The sequence below is a fragment of the Homo sapiens genome, chromosome 10 (genome assembly GCF_000001405.40).
Source record: "Homo sapiens chromosome 10, GRCh38.p14 Primary Assembly".
Lineage (NCBI taxonomy): Eukaryota > Metazoa > Chordata > Mammalia > Primates > Hominidae > Homo > Homo sapiens.
In genome coordinates, this window is record NC_000010.11 from 117,641,927 (window position 1) to 117,665,940 (window position 24,014).

Consider the following 24,014-nt stretch of genomic DNA (forward strand, 5'->3'; position numbering starts at 1 on the left):
ATTACATTTGGCATTATTTTGTTGAGGATTTTTGTGTCTATGCTCATGAGAGATACTGGTCTGTAGTTTTCTTAACTTGTAATATCTTTGTCTGGTCTTGGTGTAAGTGTAATGCTGGCCTCATAAAATGAGTTGGAATGTGTTCTCTCATCTTCTATTTTTTTCTGGAAGAGGCTGTGTAGAATGGGAATTATGCCTTCCTTAAATGTTTGGTAGGATTAACCAATGAAACCATTTGGTCCTGGAGTTTTCTTTGTTGGAAGGTGTTTAACTGTGAATTCAATCTCTTTAATAGATATAGGACTATTCAGGTTAGTGGTTCATATCTGTAATCCCAGTGACTTGGGATGCTGAGGCAGAAGGATCAGCCCAGGAGTTTGAAACCAGCCTGGGAAATATAGTGAGACCCTGTCTCCACATAAACAAAACAAAACAAAAAGACAGCTGTGCATGATGGCCCGTGCCTGTAGTCCCAGCTACTTGGGAGGGGGAGGTAAAAGGTTGCTGGAATCCAGGAGTTTGAGGCTATGGTGAGCTATGATCATGCCACTACACATCAGCCTGGGTAACAAAGTGAGACTCCATTTCTAATAATAATAATAATCATAATAATAATGGGTTATCTGTTTCTTACTGAATATATTTTGGCAGCTTGTGTCTTTCAAAGAAGAGTCCATTTCATCTAAGTTGTCCAATTTTTAGGTATAGAGTTGTTTATATTATTCTATTCTTATCCTTTTAATATCTATGGAATCTGCAGTGATATCTCCTCTTTCATTAATGTTGTTGGTCAATTTGTGTCTTTTTTTTGTGCTTTGTCAACTTAGAGGTTTATCAATGATATCAATCTTTGCAAAGAACCAGCTTTTGGTTTCTCTATTATTTTTCTGTTTTCAATGTCAATAATTTCTGCTGTCATCTTTATTATTTCTTTTCCTCGAATGCTTTGAGTTTACTTTGGTCTTCTTTTTCTACTAACTTAAACTCTAGGCTAAAGGTACTGACTTGAATCTTTTCTTCTTTCCAACTATAAGGAATTAATGACATAAAGTTATATCTAAACACTGTTTTAGCTGCATTCCACAAATTTTGTTATGCTACATTTTCATTTTCCTTCAGTTCAAAATAATTTTTATTTTCCATTGAGATTTTTTTCCTCTTTGACCTATGATTAATTTAGAAGTGTTTTATTTAATTTCCAAATATTGGGGTATTTTCAGGATATCTCTCTGGTACTGATTTCAAATTTAATTCTGTTATGAACACAGTTCATATGATTTGTATTTTCACAAAAATAGAAATGTGTATTTTCACAGCAGAGTTTGTACGGTTTGTATTTTTTTTTTTTAAGAGATATGTCTCGCTTTGTCACTTAGGTTGGAGTGCAGTGGCATGATCATAGATCACTTTAGCCTTGAACTCCTAGACTCAAGTGATTCTCCCGCCTCTTGAGTAGATGGGATTATAGGCTTGAGCCACCACACCTGGCTCCTCATTTGTATTCTTTTAAATTTGTTAAGGTTTAATGGACCAGAATATAGTCTGTCCTGGCTTTTGTGTACTTAAGCTTGCATGTACCCTCAGAACATTGTATAGTGCTTTTTTTTGGCTGAAATATTCTACAATTGTCAATTTGATTGATAATATAGCTCAGGGCTTATATCTATAATTTTATGCCTACTTTTCTATTAATTACTGAGAGAGAAATGTTGATGTCTCCAAGTAAAACTGTGGATTTATCTGTTTCTCTTTTCACTTCAATAAGCTTTTACTTCACGTATTTTGAAGTTCTCTTTTAAGGTGCATACCTATTTAGGATTGTTCTGTATTTTTAGAGAATTGACTTCTTTATCATTGTATTATATCATATTCCTTTTTATCGCCGATAATATTCTTTGTTCTAAAGCCTACTTTGTCTGATTTATTGGTTAGTGTTTGCATGACATATCTATTTCCACTTTTGTTTTTTTAACCTATTCATATCTTCATATTTAAAGTGGGTTGCTCATAAATAGCATATATTTGGGTCTTGGCGTTTGTAAAAAAACTGTTTTGACAATATCTGTCTTTTAATTTGTATGTTTAGACCATTCACATGTAATGTTATTGATATATTTGGATTCAAGTCTACCATTTTGTTAGCTTTTTCCCATTCTATCAGTTCTTTTCTTCTTTTTTCTCTTTTACTGCTTTCTCTTAGGTTACTTGAGCATTTTAAAATAATGTTGTTCTTCTTACCTATTGACTTATTATTTATATCTTTAAAAAGTTGTTTTCATAGCTGCCCTAGTGTTGATAATTTGTCTTTAATCAGAGTCTACCTTCAAATAATATCATACCATTTCATGTCTAGTGTAAGTAACTTACAATAATACATTCCCAATTACTCCCTTCAATTTGTTGTGCTACTTTTGTCATAATTTTACTTTACATGTTAAGATTACATAACACACTGCTACTATTTTCACTTTAGATTGTCAGTTATCCTTTAGAAAAACTAAAACTAAGGTAAATTTTATTTGCCTTCTCTTTTCCAGTTTCAGTGCTCTTCATTTCTTTGTTTAGGTCTTAGTTTCTGTCTGACATCGTATTCCTTCTGCCTGAAGAGCTTTCTTTAACATTCTTCTGGTGTAGGTTTGCTGGCAATGAATTCTCTCAATTTCTGTTTTACTGACAATGTCTTTATTTTTCTTTAAGAAATGTTTGTCTGGGTATTGAATTTGGGGTTGGCAGATTTTTTTTTTTCTTCAGCACTTTAAAAATGTCATTTCATTGTCTTCTGACTTACATGGTTTCTGATGAGTTGATGAATAGTCTACTATAATTATTATCTTTTTTCCTCTATAGGTAACAAGTCTTTTTCTCCTGGCCATCTTTAGGATTTTCTCCTTGACTCTATCCCCCATATATTTAGGTGGTTTGTGTTGTGTGTTTTTATTTTGCATGTATCATGCTTGATGTGCTCTGACATTTTTGGATCTATGGTTTGGTGCCTGTCATTCATTTTGGAAGTTCTTGGCCTTTATTTCTTCATTTTCTTCATCTATTTCTTCTGTCTCATTGTCTGTCTCCCCTTTAGATGTCTGTCTGCTGCAGTTAGGGAAGTGCTCATGTCTTGTTTCTTTCTTCAGGCACCTGTGCGTCTCCAGATTGTTGGTTACTTGGCTGTCCTATAACCTCAGCTCTCTGATGGGCTCAACAAATGTAGAAGTCTTGTAGCTTGTCTGACTTTTTTTTCTTTTCTTATAAGGGTGGGAATAATGTCCTTCCCAGTTCTTTCCATCCATGAGTAGAAACTGGGATCTATAACATAACTTTTGTATTTCATTTTATGGATGTGCTGTGCTTTGTTTAAACTATTCCCTATTATTTGGTACTTAACTACTTAATATTTATTTTTGCTATCATTAATAATGAAGTAATCAACATTTTTGGGCATGTATCTTTGTGCTCTTATTTGAGTAAGATAAACTATTAGAAATCAAATAGTTAGGGCTGGTTGCGGTGGCTCATGCCTGTAATCCCAGCAATTTGGGAGGCTGAGGCAGGCAGATCACCTGAGGTCAGGAGCTCAAGACCAGCCTGGCCAACTTGGTGAAGCCTGGTCTCTACTAAAAATACAAAAATTAGCCGGGTGTGGTGGCCTGTGCCTGTAATCCTGGCTCCTCGGGAGGCTAAGGCAGGAGAATCGCTTGAACCCGGGAGGCGGAGGTTGCGGTGATCCAAAATCGCACTATTGCATTCCAGCCTGGGTGACAGAGTGAGCCTCCGTCTCAAAACAAAAACAGAAACAAACAAACGAAAAAAATTAGGCATGTACCTTTTGAAAGTTTTATTAGATGTTGCTGAATCAACTTCCAGAAAAGCAATGACAATTAACCCACCTACCAGCAGAGATGGGAGGGTCCATGAATTACACTTTTGGGACTCTGGGGGAGCTGCCTCCACAGGCATGAGAAAGTGTCCCTCTCCACAGATCTGGCACTTGCCTGGCCAGACCCAGAAAGACCCTGGTTTCCCTCTCTGACCAACTCTCCCTGCAGGAAGCACTGCCAGGAAGGAAGGCCTGAAGTAAGGCTGGATTCAATATTGATAAACCCCAGCCCAAGCTGTAACTATAACATGCTTCTCCAAAGACTGATTAAGATATTGGAGGAGTATCTTGATAGATCTTGTCTAAGGAGTTCTAAACCGATTCTAAACTACAGCTCAATCACATTTATTCAACACTGATAGCAAAATTGGACATGATAGAGATGAATTTCTGATCAAGACAACTTCTAATTATTGTGCTGGCAAATAAATAACGGAAGCAATCTTTGAATTTTTTGGCAGTTGGGGGATGTTGTGATTTGTACTTTTAATTCCAAATTAAAATATTTAATGCTTTATAAAGCAGTTGCTATTTAAACTGCCAATAATATTTAACATGAATTTACTCACCATTTCCTATACTCATGCTGTATAATTTATAACACTAAGCCCTTTCAATACTCCAAAATGCCAGATAAACTTTTCTCATTTGCTCTTAATTTGGTCACGCAGGATAATACTAACATCTGAAGACTCTTTAAACTGCTTTTTAAAATGCATTCCTGGGAGCGCCACCCATGGCCCCTCTGCTTCTTGTCATCATCCATAATTATTTCCAATCCAAAGCAGCCCTTAATGCACTTATTAATCTGGCATTCTCCTCCGTGTGAAGCACATTCAGCTCTATTAATTTTTAAAAACCCTCTTTTTTATAGGGGACTGCAGATGCTTGGCTATTACTGAAAAGCTATTAGAAGTTAACACCTTTCTCTCCCCGGAGACTGGCATCATCCTAGGCCTCCAAATGCCACCCTGTTTTACATTACCAGCTGCTAAGACAAAGTATTAGATAGTTTTTTTTTTTTTTTTTTTTTTTTTTTGCTGCTGAGCTGGTGATGCTATTATTAGTGAATGGCAGAATTCCACCTGGCCTGGGAGCCCGGGGCTGTTGGGGCTGAAACAGGCAGACTTGTAGACTTTCTGGCCATCTCAGAGGGCATGCCTCCTGCTCTGCAGCGCGTGTGGTCCCAGGTGAGCAAGGCAGGTCTGGCTCTTGGAGACAGAGACTATTTCTATTTCTCCTCTGAGTGACCCCTTCCGCTTAGATGACATCCATGGGCCATTCCAGGCACCACAAAAATATTGGAAAAAATGGCTGAGGCTGTTGTGTAGAAACAAAAACTCAGGTTTCCTGTTTCCTCAGAAACTACAACAGGGATACCAGCAAAGTGATGGCTCTTGGCTTTGCAGGGCCTGATGAGGCACTGGGGGCCTGGGTGGGAAGGAGAGGATGCTAATGAATTATTTGCCATGGCCCATTTTGGGATATTGGGTTTTACAGCTTGTAGCTACATGTCCAGGTCACCCACTGAGAAGCAGCATGGACAGGGGAGGCCGAGCTTTCAGGAATGAATGGTTGCTCCTTAGAACTGGACACAGCCTGGGATCCCCGGTGAGGAGGATTTGTAGGGGAGGACCTTCCCAGGGAGCGGAGCCTCCATCTGAGTTTCCCGGGCTCTGCGGTTGACCTCAAACAGGCCCATCTGGCTGCAGACCAACCAGATGAACAGGATGCTTACAATGCAATTTAGTCATGTGCTTTCTCCCTCTGTCCTCCTCATTTGTATTTGGGAAAACAGAAGGCCAGGAAACAAAGCTGGAGATATTGAAAGAGGGACCACAGATCCTCTTGATTGCAGCTCTCCGTAGAAACATCTCTGCAGGGATGGAAGAGCAGGCCTGGTGCCCATCACCCAGGCTGGACCTCTGGCCATGAGTCTCACCCCTGTTTTCCTGAAACTTGGCCATTGGTTATATCAACCTCCCCTGCAGATTTTTTCCTTAGCGCATGTTCCACTAAGATATTCAGATCCACAGTGCTGGGGAAGACATTATTCTCCCCAGTTTACAAATGAGAAAACTGGGGCTCTGAAAAATGAAATTATGTCTTGAGGTCACATTGACAGGAATAGGACTCAGCCCAGGTCTTCCTGCTGCAGGGTCTGGGTTTATTTCTATTCCAACATTTTGCCTCAAAGGCTCTGATGGTTTTATTGGGTTCTTGAGTCTTCACTGGTAAAAAAAAAAATTACCAGAAAACACACCCCGTTGTATAGTTTAAGTTGCGATTGCTGGTCACTGTATAGTCATCTCAACCATGAATTAACTCCCTGAAGAAACCATTTGAAGGCACTTTTCAAAACGGTAGATGGTAAAAAAAAAAAAAAAAATCTAGGAAGGAGGTAAGATGCGGAACCATAGCCCAAGAATATAAATAACTCATGACAGAACTGTTCTAATATAAGGCTTCAAAACAATACTATTTTTTGTAACATTATGAAGACCATTTTGCTGGCAGTTCTATTTTTTCTGGATGTCCCAAATAAATGCAGTTTGTTTTTACCTCAATATGACATTACTTGTAATTTAAAACCCTCACTCAACTAATTTCAAAGATAGTAGATTAAATATGATGCTAAAAATAACAATAAAATAATACCCTCAAGAGTTTCCATACCTCAAGTCCCCACCATGTACCCTTACATGTACATATTATTATTTTCATGTTTTTAGGCTCAAGGAGGTTAAGTAACTCTCCCAACTTTCCAGAGGATGGGTTGAAGGATCCAGATACCTTCATTGATTTCTGGTGCATTGCATTGTTGCAAACTTTATTTTGTTTTTGGAAGAAAGTAATCCAACAATAGCTATTAGGAACAAATATGCATATACCTTTGGCCCTGCAATATCCCGTGGGGGAACTGAATCTACAGGTAGTTTGATCTCTGGATTTCCTGCCCCCTGGCTACATATAAGGATGTTTTCTCCAGCATTATTTATAATGGCAAAAAAAATGGAAAACAACCTAGAAGTCCATTAAAACAAGACTGAATGAATAAAATAAATGACAGTGTTACTGTAAAGTGGTCTACGACATAATAAATGTCAAAAGCAACTCTAAAGTAATATTTATTATGTTATGATCCCATTTTGGCAAAAACTGAATCAAACTAACCCAAAGCCTTGCATGTGCATATCTGTGTCCAACTGGTGTTTGGGTTCAGGTAGAGGATGCTTGCCTGGCAGTTAATGTGGGTTGTCAATGGGGGTTGGAGGATTAGTAAACTTCTCCCTATGTATCTTTGGATACGTTTCCATGTTCTAGCAAGCATGCATTACTTTGTATAAAAAATTGAATTAAGAAAAGAAATAAAGTCACCAGGTAAAATCAAAGCTGAGGATGTGGGTTCCCACTTTGTAGTCAAAAGATGTTAAAAATTAGCCGTGCTGCTGTTCTGGGAAAGGTTATTACCAAGTCTAGTCATTTGGAATATGTAACAAGATTTTTCCATTTTTAAATTGCTAGCTCCCAGTGTTGTATTCTTACACTCGATTTTAGGAAAGCATTTACATGTTAACAGAGCTCTGCACTAATATAATCACTGCAATAGAGAATATTCTTCAGTTATCATAGAATGCTTGTCTCTCAAATAGCTTAATTTTTTCTCATGATTTAAACAGAAGATATGGATGGCAGAATAGATAACAGATAGCAAAGCAGAGGTTTGAATAAGAAAGTTGTTGCTTAATCAGAATGTACTATCTTTCTAATAAAAAGTAACGCTGATTTAGTGCCTGATAATGCACTTGATTGAATAATATTTTTGAAAGACTGCTGAATAGATTGATTTTCTTACAGACTTTGCTCAAACTCACACCTTCTCTGTCCCTCAAGGGAGGGCCTTGCTTCAAATTACTGAATAACTGAATTGACTTTCACTCTTAGAGTCTAGAAACTGAAACGGAACCATTCACCTCTGTTGAGAAGACTATCTCTGGGTTCTAGTGATCTGCAGTGGGACAGGAACCATGTTGACTGACAGCTACTCTGTGACAATGTGCAGTTGCATTCTTACTCTTGATGTTGTAGTGACTTTGATTTGGGTGGCCATTATAAGACCACTTCCCTCTGTGGCTCTCCCTATAGTGATAATTATTGTAGAAGTCTTCCGACAGTGGAGCTTGGTGGATCTGAGATTCTGTGTCATCTGTGTCATTTTGGGGTCTGTTTCTATTGATTGATTTTTCTCCTCATTAATGGTTGAATTTCCCTGCTTCTTTGTGTGCCTAATAATTTCTGTTGGATGCCAGACATTGTGAATTTTACCTTGTTGGGTGCTTGATATGTTTGTGTTCCTTTAAATATTCTTGAGCTCATTCTGGGACATTGATAAATTATTTAGAAACCACTCGATCCTTTTGGAGCTTGTTTTCAAGCTTTGTTAGAAGGGACCAGAGCAGTCTTTGGTCCAGGGCTAATAATACCCTGTTGAGTACTCCACCTGGTACCCAATGTATGATGAGGTTGTGCCATTCTAGCTGATGCGAGCACAAACCATTCCTAGCCAAGTGGGAACCCTGGTAGTTATTCTGCCTGGTCCTTACTGCTGTTGTTTTTTCTCTTTCCCTTTTCTTGAGTAGTTCTCTCACATGCTCACATTGGGAGAAGCTCCATGGAGCAGTTTCTGCACAGCTCCTATTCTGAGCTGTTCTCTTCTTTCAGGTGCTCTACCATTCACAGTCTGGCCTTCATGGCCTCCCCAGACTCTTAAGTGTGTCTCTTTAACCCAAGGAGATGTCGAGCTCTGTTTGGGTTTCTCCACTCTGTGCTGTTTAGGAAATGTTCTCCAGGCAGTCAGCTGGGCAGTTGTAAGGTTTCCCTCATTTACTTTCCTTCTTGCCAAGATCACTGCCCTGTGCTGCCTGTTACACACTGTCTGAAAACTGTTTTTCATATCTTGTCTGTTTTTGGTTGTGGGAAGTGAAAGAGTATAAGCCCAGGGCCTCATCACAGCTGGAAGTGGAAGTTTTGGAGCCGAGACTCTTAGCTTTAAGATGCCAGCTGGGTCCCTTGGTCTCAATGTCTTCTCATCATTGTCTTATAATGCAGTGAAATAATGTCCCTAAGTGAGGCCCTAAAACTGGGAAGTCTTCATCCGGCCTGGGGATTTTGAAAAAAGGTTTTGGTTCTAGGAAAAAATAAGAAGTCCAGCAAGGCTTTTCCTAATGACAAGAAGTAGGACAGTATCTGCCATGAGGTACCCACAAATTGTTACCTTCCTGCTCAAAAAGCTTGCAAAAATGACCTTTGCTTGTATGATAAAAAGCAACATCCTGGACCCTATCTGTATCTTCAACCTCGTCTCCTGTCCTGCCCTCCTTCCTTCTGCCTCCAGCCATGCTGGGTTTCCTTTAGTTTGTTGTGCCAGCCGGTCGCCACATCTCCTTTTGGGCATGTTCTCACCTCCAGGCTCCTGTGCTTTCAAGTCTCAGCTGTGATGTCACTTTCCTAGACCAGCTAAACCCGCTTTGGGTCTTATAGCCCTCTGGATTCTCCTTTATGGCACTCATACCAGTGTGATGACAGAGGGCCTTGTTATCCTGAGGTGATCCTCCCTGAAAGGACACCTCAGACCAAGCCCACTTAACATAGGAGCCAGTATTTCATGGGAAATGGGATTTAAAGAAGATTTGATTAAGATTTTCTTGAAAACGGAGATTAGAAATTATGAACATAAATTTATTTTTATCTTATACTTACCCAATTTTAGATTCTAATTTCAACCACACACTGAAGTTTAGAGTGGACAAAAGTTGAATCAGATGTTGATAATTTCAAGCAATATAATTTTTATGACAAAATCGGATAATGGCATGAGATGGCCTCCCTTGTTTTGTAATTTTAAAAAAAAATTCTTTAAAACAAAAACATAAAGAAAGCTGTTTATTGCAGAAAGGGTCTAGGTCTTTATGCATTTGCCCAAGGGCTTCCTTTAACCACTTGATCCAACCATTCTGTTTTGACTATGAATTCATCATCCGTGGCAAATCCCTCTCTCTCTGTTGTTACGTGATCTAACTGTCAGAGCTTCATCTATCATTGGCTTGGCCTGGGGTTTAAGCTGTTCTTTAGCATCACTGTCGTAGACATCATAAAATCCTACAGCTTTGGTAAAGTCTTCAATTTTTTTTTTCAATTTGTTTGTACTGCAATTGCATCATACTGTCAGATAACAGAAAGAAAGAAACAAACAAACAAAAAACAAGGAGAGATGGAACAGAAATGATGACAGCTCTTTGGGCTGTGATAGATGCTGACATTATGTATGTTGTTTGAGTAGACACTGATCTTACAAGTGGTTAGTTCACTGAATATTTTTGAAATTCTCAGGCTAATTTCTGTTTCTCTATGAAACCTCATGAATGTGGACACTTGGCTAATAAATACTCAAGAGTATGTGGCCTCCCTATGTACGAATATTTGTGCATTTACTTGTTTAATGTTATCTCCCTCCCTGGACATCAGCTCCATCAGAGAGGGACCTCTGAACCACAGGGGCCTAGAACAGGTCTAGCCTAGAGTCAGGGCATGGTCAAATGTTTGCTGAACAAATATGCAAGCTCAAGAGGAACTGGGAGGAGAGGATCCTTGATAGAGTGGTCTCAGCTCATCGAATCATTCCGTTTTCAGTGATCTGGGCTCCTTAAGATCAAGCATTGGGCTGATTGGTTGAAATTGTTTCCTTATTGTTCTAGGGTAGTGTTTAGGAAAAGGAATGTATGGGCCAAGCTACTGCTCTTCAGGTGAAAGCAAAGGAGAGATGATTGCCCCCCAAGGGGAAGAGTTTTAGGGTTTTTACTCTGGGCTTGGCTAGTGAGGGTGAGTTGTGGATCTGTGTTAGGGTACTCAGGCTAAGCAGAAGCTCTGGGAGAAGAGAGTGCTGCTACTTCTGACCTCCACTGGGAGAGCCCCTTCCAGAATTCTCTCTGCTCCAACCTGGGAGGGGAATGTGTATGTGTGTAAGTTCCTTGCATGGTTTTGGGAGCTTGGTGGCTTCAGGCCTGTCTCTAAGAGACAAGCCTAGGAAGCTGTATATAATAAACCAATATTGTGGCTCCAGACAATCTCTCAGAAGAAATGCAGTGTCTTGGGTAATTTTCTTTACTTGGAAAATGTCACTCAAAGTGGCTTGCTTTGGGAACATTTTAGCCCCTGGAGATTACCTAATACTGGGCCTCTCACTCTTGGCCACACAAGTAACCCTCATGACAGATGAGAGTAGCCATGTACCCCTGAAGACACATGCTGGAAGGAGGACACTTCTTTGATGTTTTATTGGAAAATTAATGTACATTTTGCATTTGATTTCAAGATGTGCTCAGGTTTACTTTTATATAAAAATACTACCTCCTCAAAAAAAAAAAAAAAGAAAAAGAAACCCTTCAAGTGAGTCAGGCTTGTGTGCTCTCAGGCAGTAACACAGGGGTTTCCACACCCCAGTTTGTGAAATGACTCATGTTAATGACTCATTTCTGGAATAGTAACTCTTCACCTCAGCCACTGCAATGTGGAATGCACCAGCATCATCAGTCTCTGGGTCCTCCTTAGCACTGATTCTGGGTTAGAAAAGCAACAACTCTCTTGGCTAGTGTACACCTTCACTTTCATGAAATTACAGCTCCTTCCAGAGAGCAGTTAGATGTTCATTATGATCTAGTTTGATCATTTAAGAAAACAAAGAAAATATATATATGCTACACATGTTTTAATTTTTCTTCTTACTGACTTTCGAAAAATAAGTTGTTGGATCAGTTTCCAGATAGGTAGAAGTTTGAATATGGGAGTTGAGCAAATTCTTGAGGTTCACTAAGGTTTTTCTTCTCATTAAGATCTGGGGGATTTCTTTTCTGAAAGGCCTAGCCCCTGCTCTGCTCCTGCATTTTCTGAAGCCTTTACATCCCAACAGAAAGCTCTTTCTGGATTTAGATGTTGACAGTAATTTCGTTTCTTTACATGCCAGCATAAGCTACAGTTTCTTTCTGGTCAGCATTTTTCAACTTCATATTTTAGCCCAGAATCCAACAACACCATTAGAAAACTGACGAAGCATTTTATATTTGTGCTCCCTCGTCAGGTAGCTAAATCTCAGAGCTTGACATTTAGGCACATAAAAAAAAAAAAAAAAAAAGCCCCAGATACTGTGCTATGCGTCAGCTGGTTCATACAATTTTACCACATTCATGATATTTTTGTTAATAAGATTTAGTATCACAGAATGAGACAGAACTAGAAGGGGCCTTTAATGATCATTTAATTTAATCTCCTCATTTTTAGTGGAAGAAACTAGGCACCAGAAAGGTTTAGTGACTTACCAAAGGTCACACAATGAGTTAGGAACAGGGTCCCAGTCTGCTGACTCATTCTGGGATACCACAATATAGAGTTAACTTTTGCTGCATGTCAAACTGCCCCAGTGTTAATGGCTTAAATTGCTTATTTAGGTAAAAATTCTGTAGGTTAGCAATTGGCCTGGGCTCAGCTGGGTGGTTCTTCTGGTCTTTGCTGGGCTGGGCTGATCTTGGCTGGGCTTACTCATGTCTCTGCAGTCAGGTAGTATGTTGGCTGGGGCTGGCATGTGATGATGGCATCATCTGAAATTACTGAGATAATAGAGGCTTCTCCCATGTGATCCCTCATCTTCCAAAATGCTAGCCCAGGTTTGCCCTCATGGCAGTTACAGGGTTCCAAGAGCAACAAGGGAGAAATCTCTCAATGTGCAATCATTATTTTAAAGACACTACTTATGTCATGATTGCTAATGTCCCATTGGTCAAAGTAAGTCACAAGAACAAGCCCAGATGAAAGGGAATGGACAGAGAGAGAGAGAGAGAGAGAGAGAGAGAGAGAGAGATAGGATATCCTATAGGCCATCTTTTTAAGAGTCTCACTTCTAGTTACCTGGGATGACAATAATGACATGCAGTTGTAAATGATATCATGGGCTAGCCTCTTATAATTGAGTTATTTCAGTTCATCTGGTGCTGGTAGATTTTACTTTATTGTATATTATTTTCTCTTCAAGTACAATCTATTGTAGGTGGACATATGAGAGAACCAAAAAAAAAAAGGTACTATTTCTTGTTCCCCAGTTTATGATAAAAACTCTCTTTAAGCTCCCAAAATGCTGTTAAAAAGAAGCTCAAAGGATCTGTGGATCTATCCCAATATTTATTTGTAGGTTCAAGGAGCAATAATAGTTCTAGCCTTCATATTTTAGGACCATTATATGGTTTGTACATGAAGCTCATTCTTTACCCCATTTGACTTTCATAGTCTTCCTGTGGAGTAGCTGGGCATGAGATATTTGCACTATTTTACAGATTGGGAACTAAGGCTCAGATTCTCACTCCTCCTGCCCCGCCCCACCCTACTGCCCCAGGAATTGCCATGGGACTCCATAGGTGTGATGCCTGTGTTAATTTCCTCTTCCCCCAAGTCTAGAAGCCTGTGGAGAACCCCCAAACAGCTCTCCCTCAGCTCTGTGATTTCTCTCCAGTCTCAAGGTTGGAGGACCATTTTAACTGTGCCATTCTGGGAAGAGGGTTCCTGCCTTTTCTTTACTGAGAGGAGCCAGGCCACAGATGTGGGCTCCTGGCCTCCAACTTTCCTCTCAAGGTGCCTCAATTTGTCTGAGTGTCATCCCCTCATCCTCGGAGGGTCCTCCTCCTCCACCTCCTTCTCTAAGTTTAGTCCTTCACTGGGATCCTGATTCCATCCCTCTCCTTGCTGGGCTCAGGGAAGGTTCCCTGGAGGAGGTGGTGTGTAAACTGACCCCTGGATGATGAGGAAGGTCTTTCTGGTATCAGGCATTGGCAACAGTTTGAAGTATTTTCTAGTTAAGAGGAAATGGTAGCAATCAGTATGAGAACTGTGTGGCAGCTTTCATGACTGGAGGTTAGAGTGTGTTATTAGGGGCAGGAGGAAGGGAAAAGATGGGCCCTTCCCTCAAGTGGCCTCACCACAATCTATCCCACCTCAATGGAAAATCACTGGCTGGTGGGAATACGTCTTAGAGAAGGGTCCAGCTTGCTAGCCAGAGGCCACAGGTAATAGCCACCTGGTGCTTTCCCCTAGCTGGGACAGATGAGCACATATTCTCTCATGCTCTTGGAAAGCCTGGAGTGGTGTAATAAGGACCAGCATCCAACCCTTTGCCGGATTACTGAAGGCAGGTGGTGAGGAAGCCACACTCCACACCAGTCAGCATCTCCTCCATCAGACCTCAGGGCCTGGAAAAGTCATGTCTCCTCTGAGAAACTGCTGTGCTCTCCTTGGGTTGGTTTGTGTTTCATCTGGTGGATACCATGCATAGTTAGACTGTCATTGATTGTAGTTTCCTTTCTTCTTTGGCTGCTAGGAAGCTCCGAGCTGAGTGTTTTCCTAATGTATTTTAAAGAGTAAAAATCAGTTTGTTGATTTTTATAAATAGAAATATAATAATAATTAAAAATTTTCAACAGTGCAACAATGTATGAAAAAGAAAGTTTAGGTTTAAAAATCACTCCAACTATTACCATTAGGTAAAAATATTACAGATATTATTTTCTGTCTCTCCGTTTGTGGAGACACACACACAAACATACACACATGCAGTTTTCCATATATGTCAATATTCATGAATGGACTTCCATCTATCTATCTATCTATCTATCCATCTATCTATCTATCTATCTATCTATCTATCTATCTATCTAATTACTTATCTATATCTACCTCTCTACTTATCTTCTTTCTCAGTCTCTCGTTCCATCAATCAACCAATCAACCAATCAATCAATCAATAGATAGATAGATTGATAGATAATGTGTGGAAGTCCATTTGTGAAAAACAAATCATATGAATGATGCTTGTTACTTTTAACATAAAGACTTGAAGTTGATTTTTCTTAAATTTCAAAAAAGAAAAAGAAGCTAAAGGCAAGTGGAATGAATGGTTGAACTTTTCACCACAAGATACATTCTCTTCTAAAAGGTCTAAGGTTAAGACAGGAGACTGTGGAGAGAACATTGAGGTTGGGGTAATGATGTTTTTCTAGATGCGTTGTTTCGCTTTCAGATACTCTCAGTCACCCCCTTGCTGTGAAAGATGAGGAACTGAGCACCTCACACCTCCTACACGCTTCTTTGAGGAGTTATAAAATGTTCACAGTTCACACAATAGTTTGGTATTAATTCTATGTTTAAATAGATTCTATTGTTACTACTGGCCATTTTACCACCCCTTCTCCACTACTGAAATCTCGATTTCCATTTATCTCTTAATTAGCTGGTTTCATGGGCAAGTAGTTTTGTCAAGAAGACACTGTATTCACTGAGTTTTTAAAATTTCTGTTTTGTACTTACCTTCATGTCTGAGAATGTCTGTTTGTTGCCTTTCTATGAGACCAGATCCTTGGCTGGCTGTGGTACTCTTGATTTCCTTCTCCCTTTAAATGGGGTATCCTTGCTCCATTGTCTCGGAGGAGGAATGTTGCCTTAGGCCTGAGGGCAGCCTGACCCTCTCCTTTCTTGATGATCATAGGCTTTCCATACCTGAATTCTTGAGAAACTGTTACATTTTCATTTAAGTTAAATTACATAATTAGAACATATCATGATGTCGGACTTACTGAATGAGATTATTTCTTCTGGAATATTATGTGTTATGGATTCAGTTCTTCCTTCTCAGACAGTGCTGTATTGTATCATTCAATTCCTTTCTAGTCAATACCTTTTCCCTGCCTTCTGTGGTTTCTCTATGTCCGGGACACTAATTACCTTGTGTTGAATTCTCTTTTTTCTGGTTTCTTTGTCTTTTTCATCTATTTCTTTTTGATTATCTAGGCCTTTCCTTTATGCCAGTAATTCGATTTTCAGCTATATCTGTACTGTTCTTGCTGATTTTAATTATGTTATTTATTTTTAAACACTGTTTGGTCCACAATTTATTTTCTTTGGTTTGTAATCTCCATTTTCCTTTCTTTATGTCATTTTCTCACTCCTCTCATCATTTTATTATGACAGTTTCAAAGATATATAAAAGGTGAAAGAATTGATAGTGGATACCCATATACCCACCACCCATGTTCTACAATTAACATTTTACTCTACTTGCTTCACCATGTATCTGTTAACAACTAGTCCTTCAATCCCTCTATCCATCATATTTTTTGCTAGGTTTCAAAAGCAAGGGGGTCACATAGGTACACATCCCTCTAAATACTTCAGCAAGAATATCACTAACTGGACCCAGCGCGATGCCTCACGCCTATATCCCAGCTCTCTGGGAGACTGAGGCAGGCGGATGGCTTGAGTGCAGGAGTTTGAGACCAGCCTGGGCAACATGGCAAAAGCCTGTCTCTATTAAAAATATAAAAATTAGCTGGGCATGGTTTTGTGTACCTGTGGTCCTAGCTACTTGGGAGGCTGAAGTGGGAGGATTCACTGAGCCCAGGAGGGCAAAGGCTGCAGTGAGCTGTGATCACACCACTGAACTCCAGCCTGGGTGACAGAGCCAGACTCTGTCTCAAAAAAAAAAAAAAAAAAAAAAAAATCACTAATTGGAGTTTAACTTTTATTTACAGTTTTTTATTTTTTCCCTTGATGTGAAATTTGCATACAACAAAATGCCACACATCTTGAGTATGTCATTTGATAAGTTTCCCCAAAAAATTTATCGCAAAAATTTCAAACATACAGCAACATTGAAAGATTTTTACAGCAAACAACCACGAACGCATTACTTAGATTTTTGTATTAACAATTAACTCTACTTGTTTTATCACATATCGATCACATTTTCTTTTGAGGTAAAATTTACGTATCATTAAATGCACAAATCGTAAGTGTACATTTGATGAACTTTAGCAAATACATCCACTGTGTGCTCCAAATCACCATCAAACTATAGACCACTACGTTGGAAACTCCCTGGTGTTCAGCTCATTTCCAGCCCCCACCCAGAGGCAACGACCATTCTGATTTTTTTCCACCATAGATTAGTCTTCCTTGTTCTTGAGCCCCACATAAATGGAATCATATAAGGCATACTCTTTTGTGTAAGACTTCTTTCACTCAGCATAATGTTTTTGAAATTCATCTTTATTGTTGTCTTTATCGGTAATTTGCTTCTTTTTATTGCTTATAAGTTTTCCATTGCATGAGTATACCATTGTTTATTCTTGTTTCTGGACACCTGGGATGTTTCCAGGTTTTGACCATTATGAATAAAGCTGCTGGGAACATTTTTGTGCAAACCTTTTGTTCATTTCTCTTGGATAAGTGCCTAAAATTAGAATTGTTAGGTCATAGGGTAGGTATATGTTTAGTTTTATAAGACACTGCCAGAACTTTTCTCCAATTTTTGTATTATCTTATATTATCACCAGCAATGCTTGAAGGTTCTATTAAATAGTTGCTCCATATCCTCGGCAACACGGGGTGTTGTCAGTCTTTTTGATTTTAGCCTTTCTGGTGGGGTAGAGTGGTCATTTGGGGCTCTTTTTAAAAATTGGATTCATGTTCTTACTGCATTTTTCTTCAGCTATTGCACTTGTAAAATTTTTCTTGTGTACTTTAGTTCACGTTTCTTCCATCGTTTGGTCGTATCTATCTTTCACTTGCTGTTTCTTTTCCCTTTCAGGGGGAGTGGCCGTCAGCTCCATGCTCCAAGTCGCTTAGTTGCTGCACCATCTCTTTTCATTTAATTTGTGCTTGAGCAGCTCTCTCCAGACATTTATTTTGATCTAATGGAGTGTGTTTAGCTTCTTGACTTTCTTTCCATTGTACTTGAGGATGCTTTGATTATTTTTTCCCTCCTTTGCTACAGTATTTTTTTAAACCAGGTATGATTTACATAGAGTAAAATCCATCCTTCCCCAGATGTTCACTTCTATCAATATTGGCAAGTGTGCTCAGATGTGTAACTGCCACCACAATCAGGATATTCACTGTTTCCATCATTCCACAAAGTTCCCTCATGTGCCTTTGTAGTCGATCCCCACGACCTCCAAGTCCCGGCAACCTCTGATGTATTTCCTGTCCTTAGAGTTTTGTTTTTTCCAGAATGTTGTATCAGTGAAATCATACAGTATGTCACCTTTTGAGTCTGGATGCTTTCACTTCATCTGTGGTGTTGCACGAATCAATAGTTTGTTCTTTTTGTTGCTGAGTATGATTCCGTTATCTGGATGTACCACAGTGTGTTTATCCACTTACCAGGTGAGGGACACTTCCATTATTTCTGGTTTTGGATGATTATAGAAAAAGCTTCTATAAACATCTGCATACTGTTTTTTTTGTGGGTGTTCATATCATTTGCCACATTTTAAGGACTGATGTTTCATGTTGTAGTTGCATATTTTTGTCCCGAATAGCTCCAATAAAGCAAGTGTCTATGTTAGACTTCCACTTCTGGACTTTTGTTTAATATCCACTCTTGGGCTCATCACACACAGTGGAGGGGTGTTGACCTTTCCCATGGCATACTCTTGGCTTTAGATGGTTTCTCTAATCACCATGTGGACCCAGAATGCTCACTTCTATCTGAGAGAGTAAGGGCCCTGATCCTGTCCTCAGTTTTCCTGTTTCCCCCAGCAGCAGTTTTCACTCATCCCCAGTCAATGGTGAGAAAGCTGTGGCCAGCTTCACTCCAGATCCTAGGGTATTAGTGAGAATAGCTAGTATTTTGCTGACCCAAAATGGCTCCTGGGGGATTGGGAGTGGGAATGGACACATTGCTGCACTGAATCATTTTGCTCTGCTCCATAATTTTCCTTTTCTTTCCTTGGCTGATGCTTTTGAAGCTTTGTGCTATGCCTCTGTCCTTTTTTGCTGTATTTCAATTTTTATTTATTTATTTATTTTTGAGACAGAGTCTTCCTCTGTCACCCAGGGTAGAGTGCAGTGGCACGATCTTGGCTCACTGCAACCTCTGTCTCCTGGTCTCAAGCAATCCTCCTGCCTTAGCCTTCCAAGTAGCTGAGACCACAGACATGTGTCACCATGTCTGGCTCATTTTTGTATTTTTAGTAGGGATGGGGCTTCGCCATGTTGCCCAGGCTGGTCTTGAACTCCTGAACTTGTGTGATCTGCCTGTCTTGGCCTCCCAAAGTGCTAGGATTGCAGGCATGAGCCACTGCACCTGGCCTATTTTTTTTATTTTTAAAATCAATTTCTTTAGCTATTTGGGGAGGGAGGTTCTCTATGCAGCTTCCATTAGCCATCCTAACTCAAAAATCTCTGCTTACCATTAAAAACTGTGCAGACCGTTTTGACTTGCATTTTCACGTCCTAACTTTTCCTTTGGCCTCATCCTGCTATTCTCGTCTGATTTTCCTTCTCTCAGATTTCTTTATCTATTTTAAAATTTTATGGTGCTATATGCATATTTACAAGCTGCCTCAAATACTTTTGGAATGTAGTGGGATATAAATAAATCCATAACATTAAAAAAAAATCAAAATCAGTCAAGGGTTACCTAAGACCTGTGGGCTGTGGCGGCTGCAGGTAGGCCAGAATTCTGGATCTCAAGGAATTGTTAAGTACCTCCGGTTGAGTTTAGTGGTGACTTTGCTAAATGAACCACTTCAGCCCTTCAGGGAGCAGAGCTTCATTTTATGGCAGCTGAAACAGTATTGAGTAAGAGTCACAAAATCAAATGCCTCCAGGGGCCAGGCAGGTACTACTAATTAGTAAAGCAGGTAGGTACAAGGCAAGAGGGAGTGGTGGTGACTGTGGCAAACCAGAGAGCACCTGCCTGGTCTGTTGATGGCTGCCTCTCCTCCATTTAATAGGTAGGCAGGTATATGGGCTAATCTTACCAGAACCTTTAGAGGGGCCAGATATAAAGCAATGGGCCAGGCACTAGTTTTTTTTTGTTTTGCTTTTTGTTTTTTTCTTTTTTTGAGGCGGAGTCTCTGTCACCCGGGCTGGAGTGCAGTGGCGCAATCTCGGCTCACTGCAACCTCCGCCTCCCAGGTTCAAGCGATTCTCCTGCCTCAGCCTCAGCCTCCCAAGTAGCTGGGATTACAGGCGCCCGCCACCACACCCGGCTACTTTTTGTATTTTTAGTAGAGATGGGGTTTCACCATGTTGGTTAGGCTGGTCTTGAACTCCTGACCTCATGATCTACCCCTCTCAGCCTCCCAAAGTGCTGGGATTACAGGCGTGAGCCACCGCGCCCGGCCAGGCACTAGTTTTTAACACCACCCCGCCCCCCACCCTTTTGCCATAAAATGGGACTTTCAGATGAAATCTTCGATTAAAATTCAGTATCTACAAGGTTGAAGGTGGGACAGGTTATTTGGGTTAAGTGTGGCAGCCTGAAGAGCTGACCCCTAGAGGTGCCTCTCCAAAGGCCCTGTGGCTCTAAGGAACACTTTGGAGACTTCAGACTAGATCGTGGGCAGACTAGATCTCTGATCTCCTCTTGTGCCTTACATACCCACAGGAATAGTCACTTACAGCTTCTCAACCCTGGATGCTGTGGGTTTGCACATGACACACTGACCCTGAACAAACTTTGGAGCATGTGTGTGCTCTGCAAATTCCAGAAATTATTTTCAGAGAATGCATTTTTGCCCCAGTGGAAGCTTTGAGTGTGTTTGTGAAGATGTCTATGTCCAAGTGTGTGTCTCTGTGTGTGTATGAGAATGAGAACATCATTGATCCGTGGGCATTTATTGTTCCATGGGAAGACCAGTTGATCTTGTAGGGAATGTTTTGAGTTAGTGATTCTAGAACAGGGGTTGGCAAACTACTGTCTGTGTGTCCAATTCAGCCTGCAGCTTGTATTTGTACAGCATGTGAGCTAAGAATGGTTTTTACATTTTTTAAAGAATTTTTTTTTAAAGCCCAAGATACAAAGCCTAAAATATTTACTATCTGGCCCTTTACTCAAAATGTACTGAATATTCTGGAGTATCTTATATTCCCATTTAGTCTGAACCACCCAGTCACAAGCCTTTAAATATGCATTTTATGTAGGAGATGGATGTGCATAAAACTTTTTTCTGTCCTGAAAAGCTGCTGCTGTGGGTTTGCTCCCAGTACAGAGTGAGGCAGTCCTGGGCTAGAGCAGCCTCCAGAACAGGTGCGGCACCCCTGCAGAGCCTGGGGCCAGTTGAGTCGCTCACATGTCTCCCTCCAGGCTTGGCTTCCTAGGAGCTGGATTCTCCAGATGAACAAGTGGCTGCCATGACCATGTTTGGGAATCTGGGGCCTCCAGCTGTCCAGTGGCAGCCATCTGATCCCTCTGCATGAGTGATTTCCTGGGCAGTGAAGACTTGCCTTAACTTTTGAGCTCAGGTGGGTTCCAGTGATAGTCTCTGGGGTCAGAGGCCTCTGCGGCTGCAGAGGCCCATTGCTGTTGCTTGTACTTCTCAATCTCTGGTGAGGCTCTCGGGAGCTGTTCCAGCCTGCCCGTGGGCCTCCACTGTGTGCCTCCACGATGCTGACTTCAGTTGTTGGTCACAGTGTCTGGAGGGCACAGCTGCCCTCCCCACTCTGGAAGAAGCCGTTTACATCATTGTTAGTGGCTCTGGCTAGTGACCCCTCCTTCTGGATCCCAACTGGGAAAATTCTGCTTCCCAGATGGCATCTCTGGCCAGCTGTTCTTGGGGGCTCTTGGGAGCTCACCCTTGGGCTGAGAAGCCACCTGCATTCAACTCTGGCTTCAGCCCCAGCTCCCATTGTGATCTTGGCAAGTCACATTCCTTCTGTGGGACTTAGTTTCCCCATCTGGAAAAGGTGAATGGTAGGCTAGATCTCTGCTTTTCAAACCAGGATCCTCAAACCGTTGGACAAATCCTCTAAGATTTTTTTTTTAATTCCATTTTTATTTTATTGATAATTTGAAAAAAATGGATGTAAATATTTTCTGGCTTGGCTGGCTGGTCACTTTATACCTGGGTATGGACATAAGATTTTAGTGTCCAAGTTTTAATTGTATCATGAGATGCTGGGGCAATCAAACACATTTTAGTTCTCACAGGCTGATGAGAGAAAGCACAGATGTGGTTGAGTGAGTATTTGTATCCACTGAAGGCCCATGTTGTCATGGCTTTCTGTGTGAATGAAAGTGTTTGCAATAGTTAGAAGGGAGAAACCGAGTGGGAGAATTGAGTCATCACACAGCACTCTGTTGGTACTGACCTTGCTAAATGTAAACAAATCTGTATCCTAGAGGCCACACGTGCTCCAAGTAGCAATGCCTCTTCAGCAAAAGCATCACCAGTTGTGTTATTTTAATGCTGTTAATTTTAATTTTAATGTTTTTGTCATTCTGCAGGCATTGAGTCCAAGAATCTTTTTTGTTTTCTAGTGGTGTAAGAGCTAAAAGCCTAAGATGATTATACGTAATTATATGTATGCATCTATTTAAATAACATTACAATAAAATAATTTAAGACAAAGATGGGGCCATGTGGATATTTATTTCCCCTTTCAGAGTGATGTGCACATTACCTGAGAATCCATGGTCTAAAACAGGCACTGCAAACTGTGTCTGTAAAGGGCCAGATAGTAAATATTTAGAGTTTACAAGTCATACAGTCTCTGTTACAACCGTTCAGCCCTGAAGTCGTAGCACAAAAGCAGCCATAGAAAACACTTAAATGAATAGGCTCAGCTGTGTTCTAATAAAACTTTATTTACAAAAATAGACAGTGGGCTAGATTTTATGCTGCCGGCCATAGTTTGCCAATCGCTGGTCTGAGGCATCTTCCTTCTCAGATGACTGGCAAAGTGGTCTTGCTGAGGGGACAGGTTTTCTCTTCTGGTTTCCACAAAGAGTCTCTTCTGTTGCTTTCTGCTGTATGAACTCCTGGAGGCCCTCCAGAACGAGTTGCCTGGGTGAGGTGAGCTTGTCCCTTGATGCTGGCAGTTTCCTTGCTTTGGCCATGGGTTCCCACTCCACCTTAGGCCTGCAGAGTCACCTGAAATTTCCTTGCGTGTCCCCTGTGCCGGCCTCTGCACCTCTGCGGGAGAGTCATCCATCCCTCCTCCCCTGGCACACACACCTTGCCAACATTTGGAGGCTGTTATCGAAATATCCTGCAGCCCGGCCTTATGAAGCTGGGCCCTTTTATCTTTCTTTATAAATCACCCTCTCCCTCCACTTAATCCTGCCAGGCCCGCTCCTCTGAACTCCCTCCAATCTGTCTCTGGTGAGCTGGTTCTGAGCACCACGGGCTGCAGGCAGCCAGGTGCGGCCTTGCTGAGGCTTCGGGGAAAGGGAGGGGGTCTTGCTTCCATCTGCCAGGGATGGGGCTTTGGCTGCAAATTCCCACACCTTTCCTTTGCTCTGCGGAATGGAGCCTAAGTAGTTTATTCATTCAACATTCACTCAACATTACCTATTGAGCTTTGCACTGTCAGCAGTGAAGACGACGGCTGTGCTGCTGTCATCTTGGGGCTCACAAGGCTGAAAAAAATGCACAAAATAGTTACACATTCTTGCACTGCTATGGGGAAAACCAATAGAGGTTGAGATGGACAATAGTGGGGTAGAGAGTGCAGGGACGGCTGTTCTTATAGAGTGGTTGAGAAGACAGACCCTGAGGAGGTGACATCTATGCCTGGGCCTAAAAATGAGAAGGAGCCAACTATGGGCACAGTGGAGGGAAGAGCATCCCTTCCACAGGAAAAGCACATGCAAAAGTCCTGTGGTGGGAAGGCACTGCTCTGCTTGATCGTGTGAGGAGCAGGAAGGAGAGAGAGCCTTAGGGAAGATGGGCTCAACGGTGCCCTGGCTGTGCAGTGAAGGTAATAGCCCGTGCATATGTGACGAGCTTAATCATCCTCACCATCATTGCAGGGCCCATATGCTCGACACTTTATTAACTTTGTTTCGTTTAATCCTCAGGGCAACCCCTTGAAGGAGTTATGCTTTCCCCTGTATTTTACAGAGGAAGAAACTGATGCTCAGAGAGGTTAAGTTGCCTAATATCACACAGCTAATAAGTAATGGAGCTGGAATTTGAATCCAGAGCAGTCAGAATCAAAGCCCCTGCTTTATTATCTGATTCAAAATCCTATTACGTTTTGAAATAAACAAAATCTCCTGTTCATTCATTCATTCCCCGTATTAGGGGCATTCTTG

General features: G+C 40.9%; 1 annotated feature.

The window, feature by feature from the left end:
* Window positions 21,925–22,094: a silencer, noted in NCBI's record as "silent region_2862". NCBI's record gives its function as "represses an Ori minimal core promoter by ATAC-STARR-seq in GM12878 lymphoblastoid cells {active_cell/tissue: GM12878}" and the evidence as "EXISTENCE:reporter gene assay evidence [ECO:0000049][PMID:35858748]".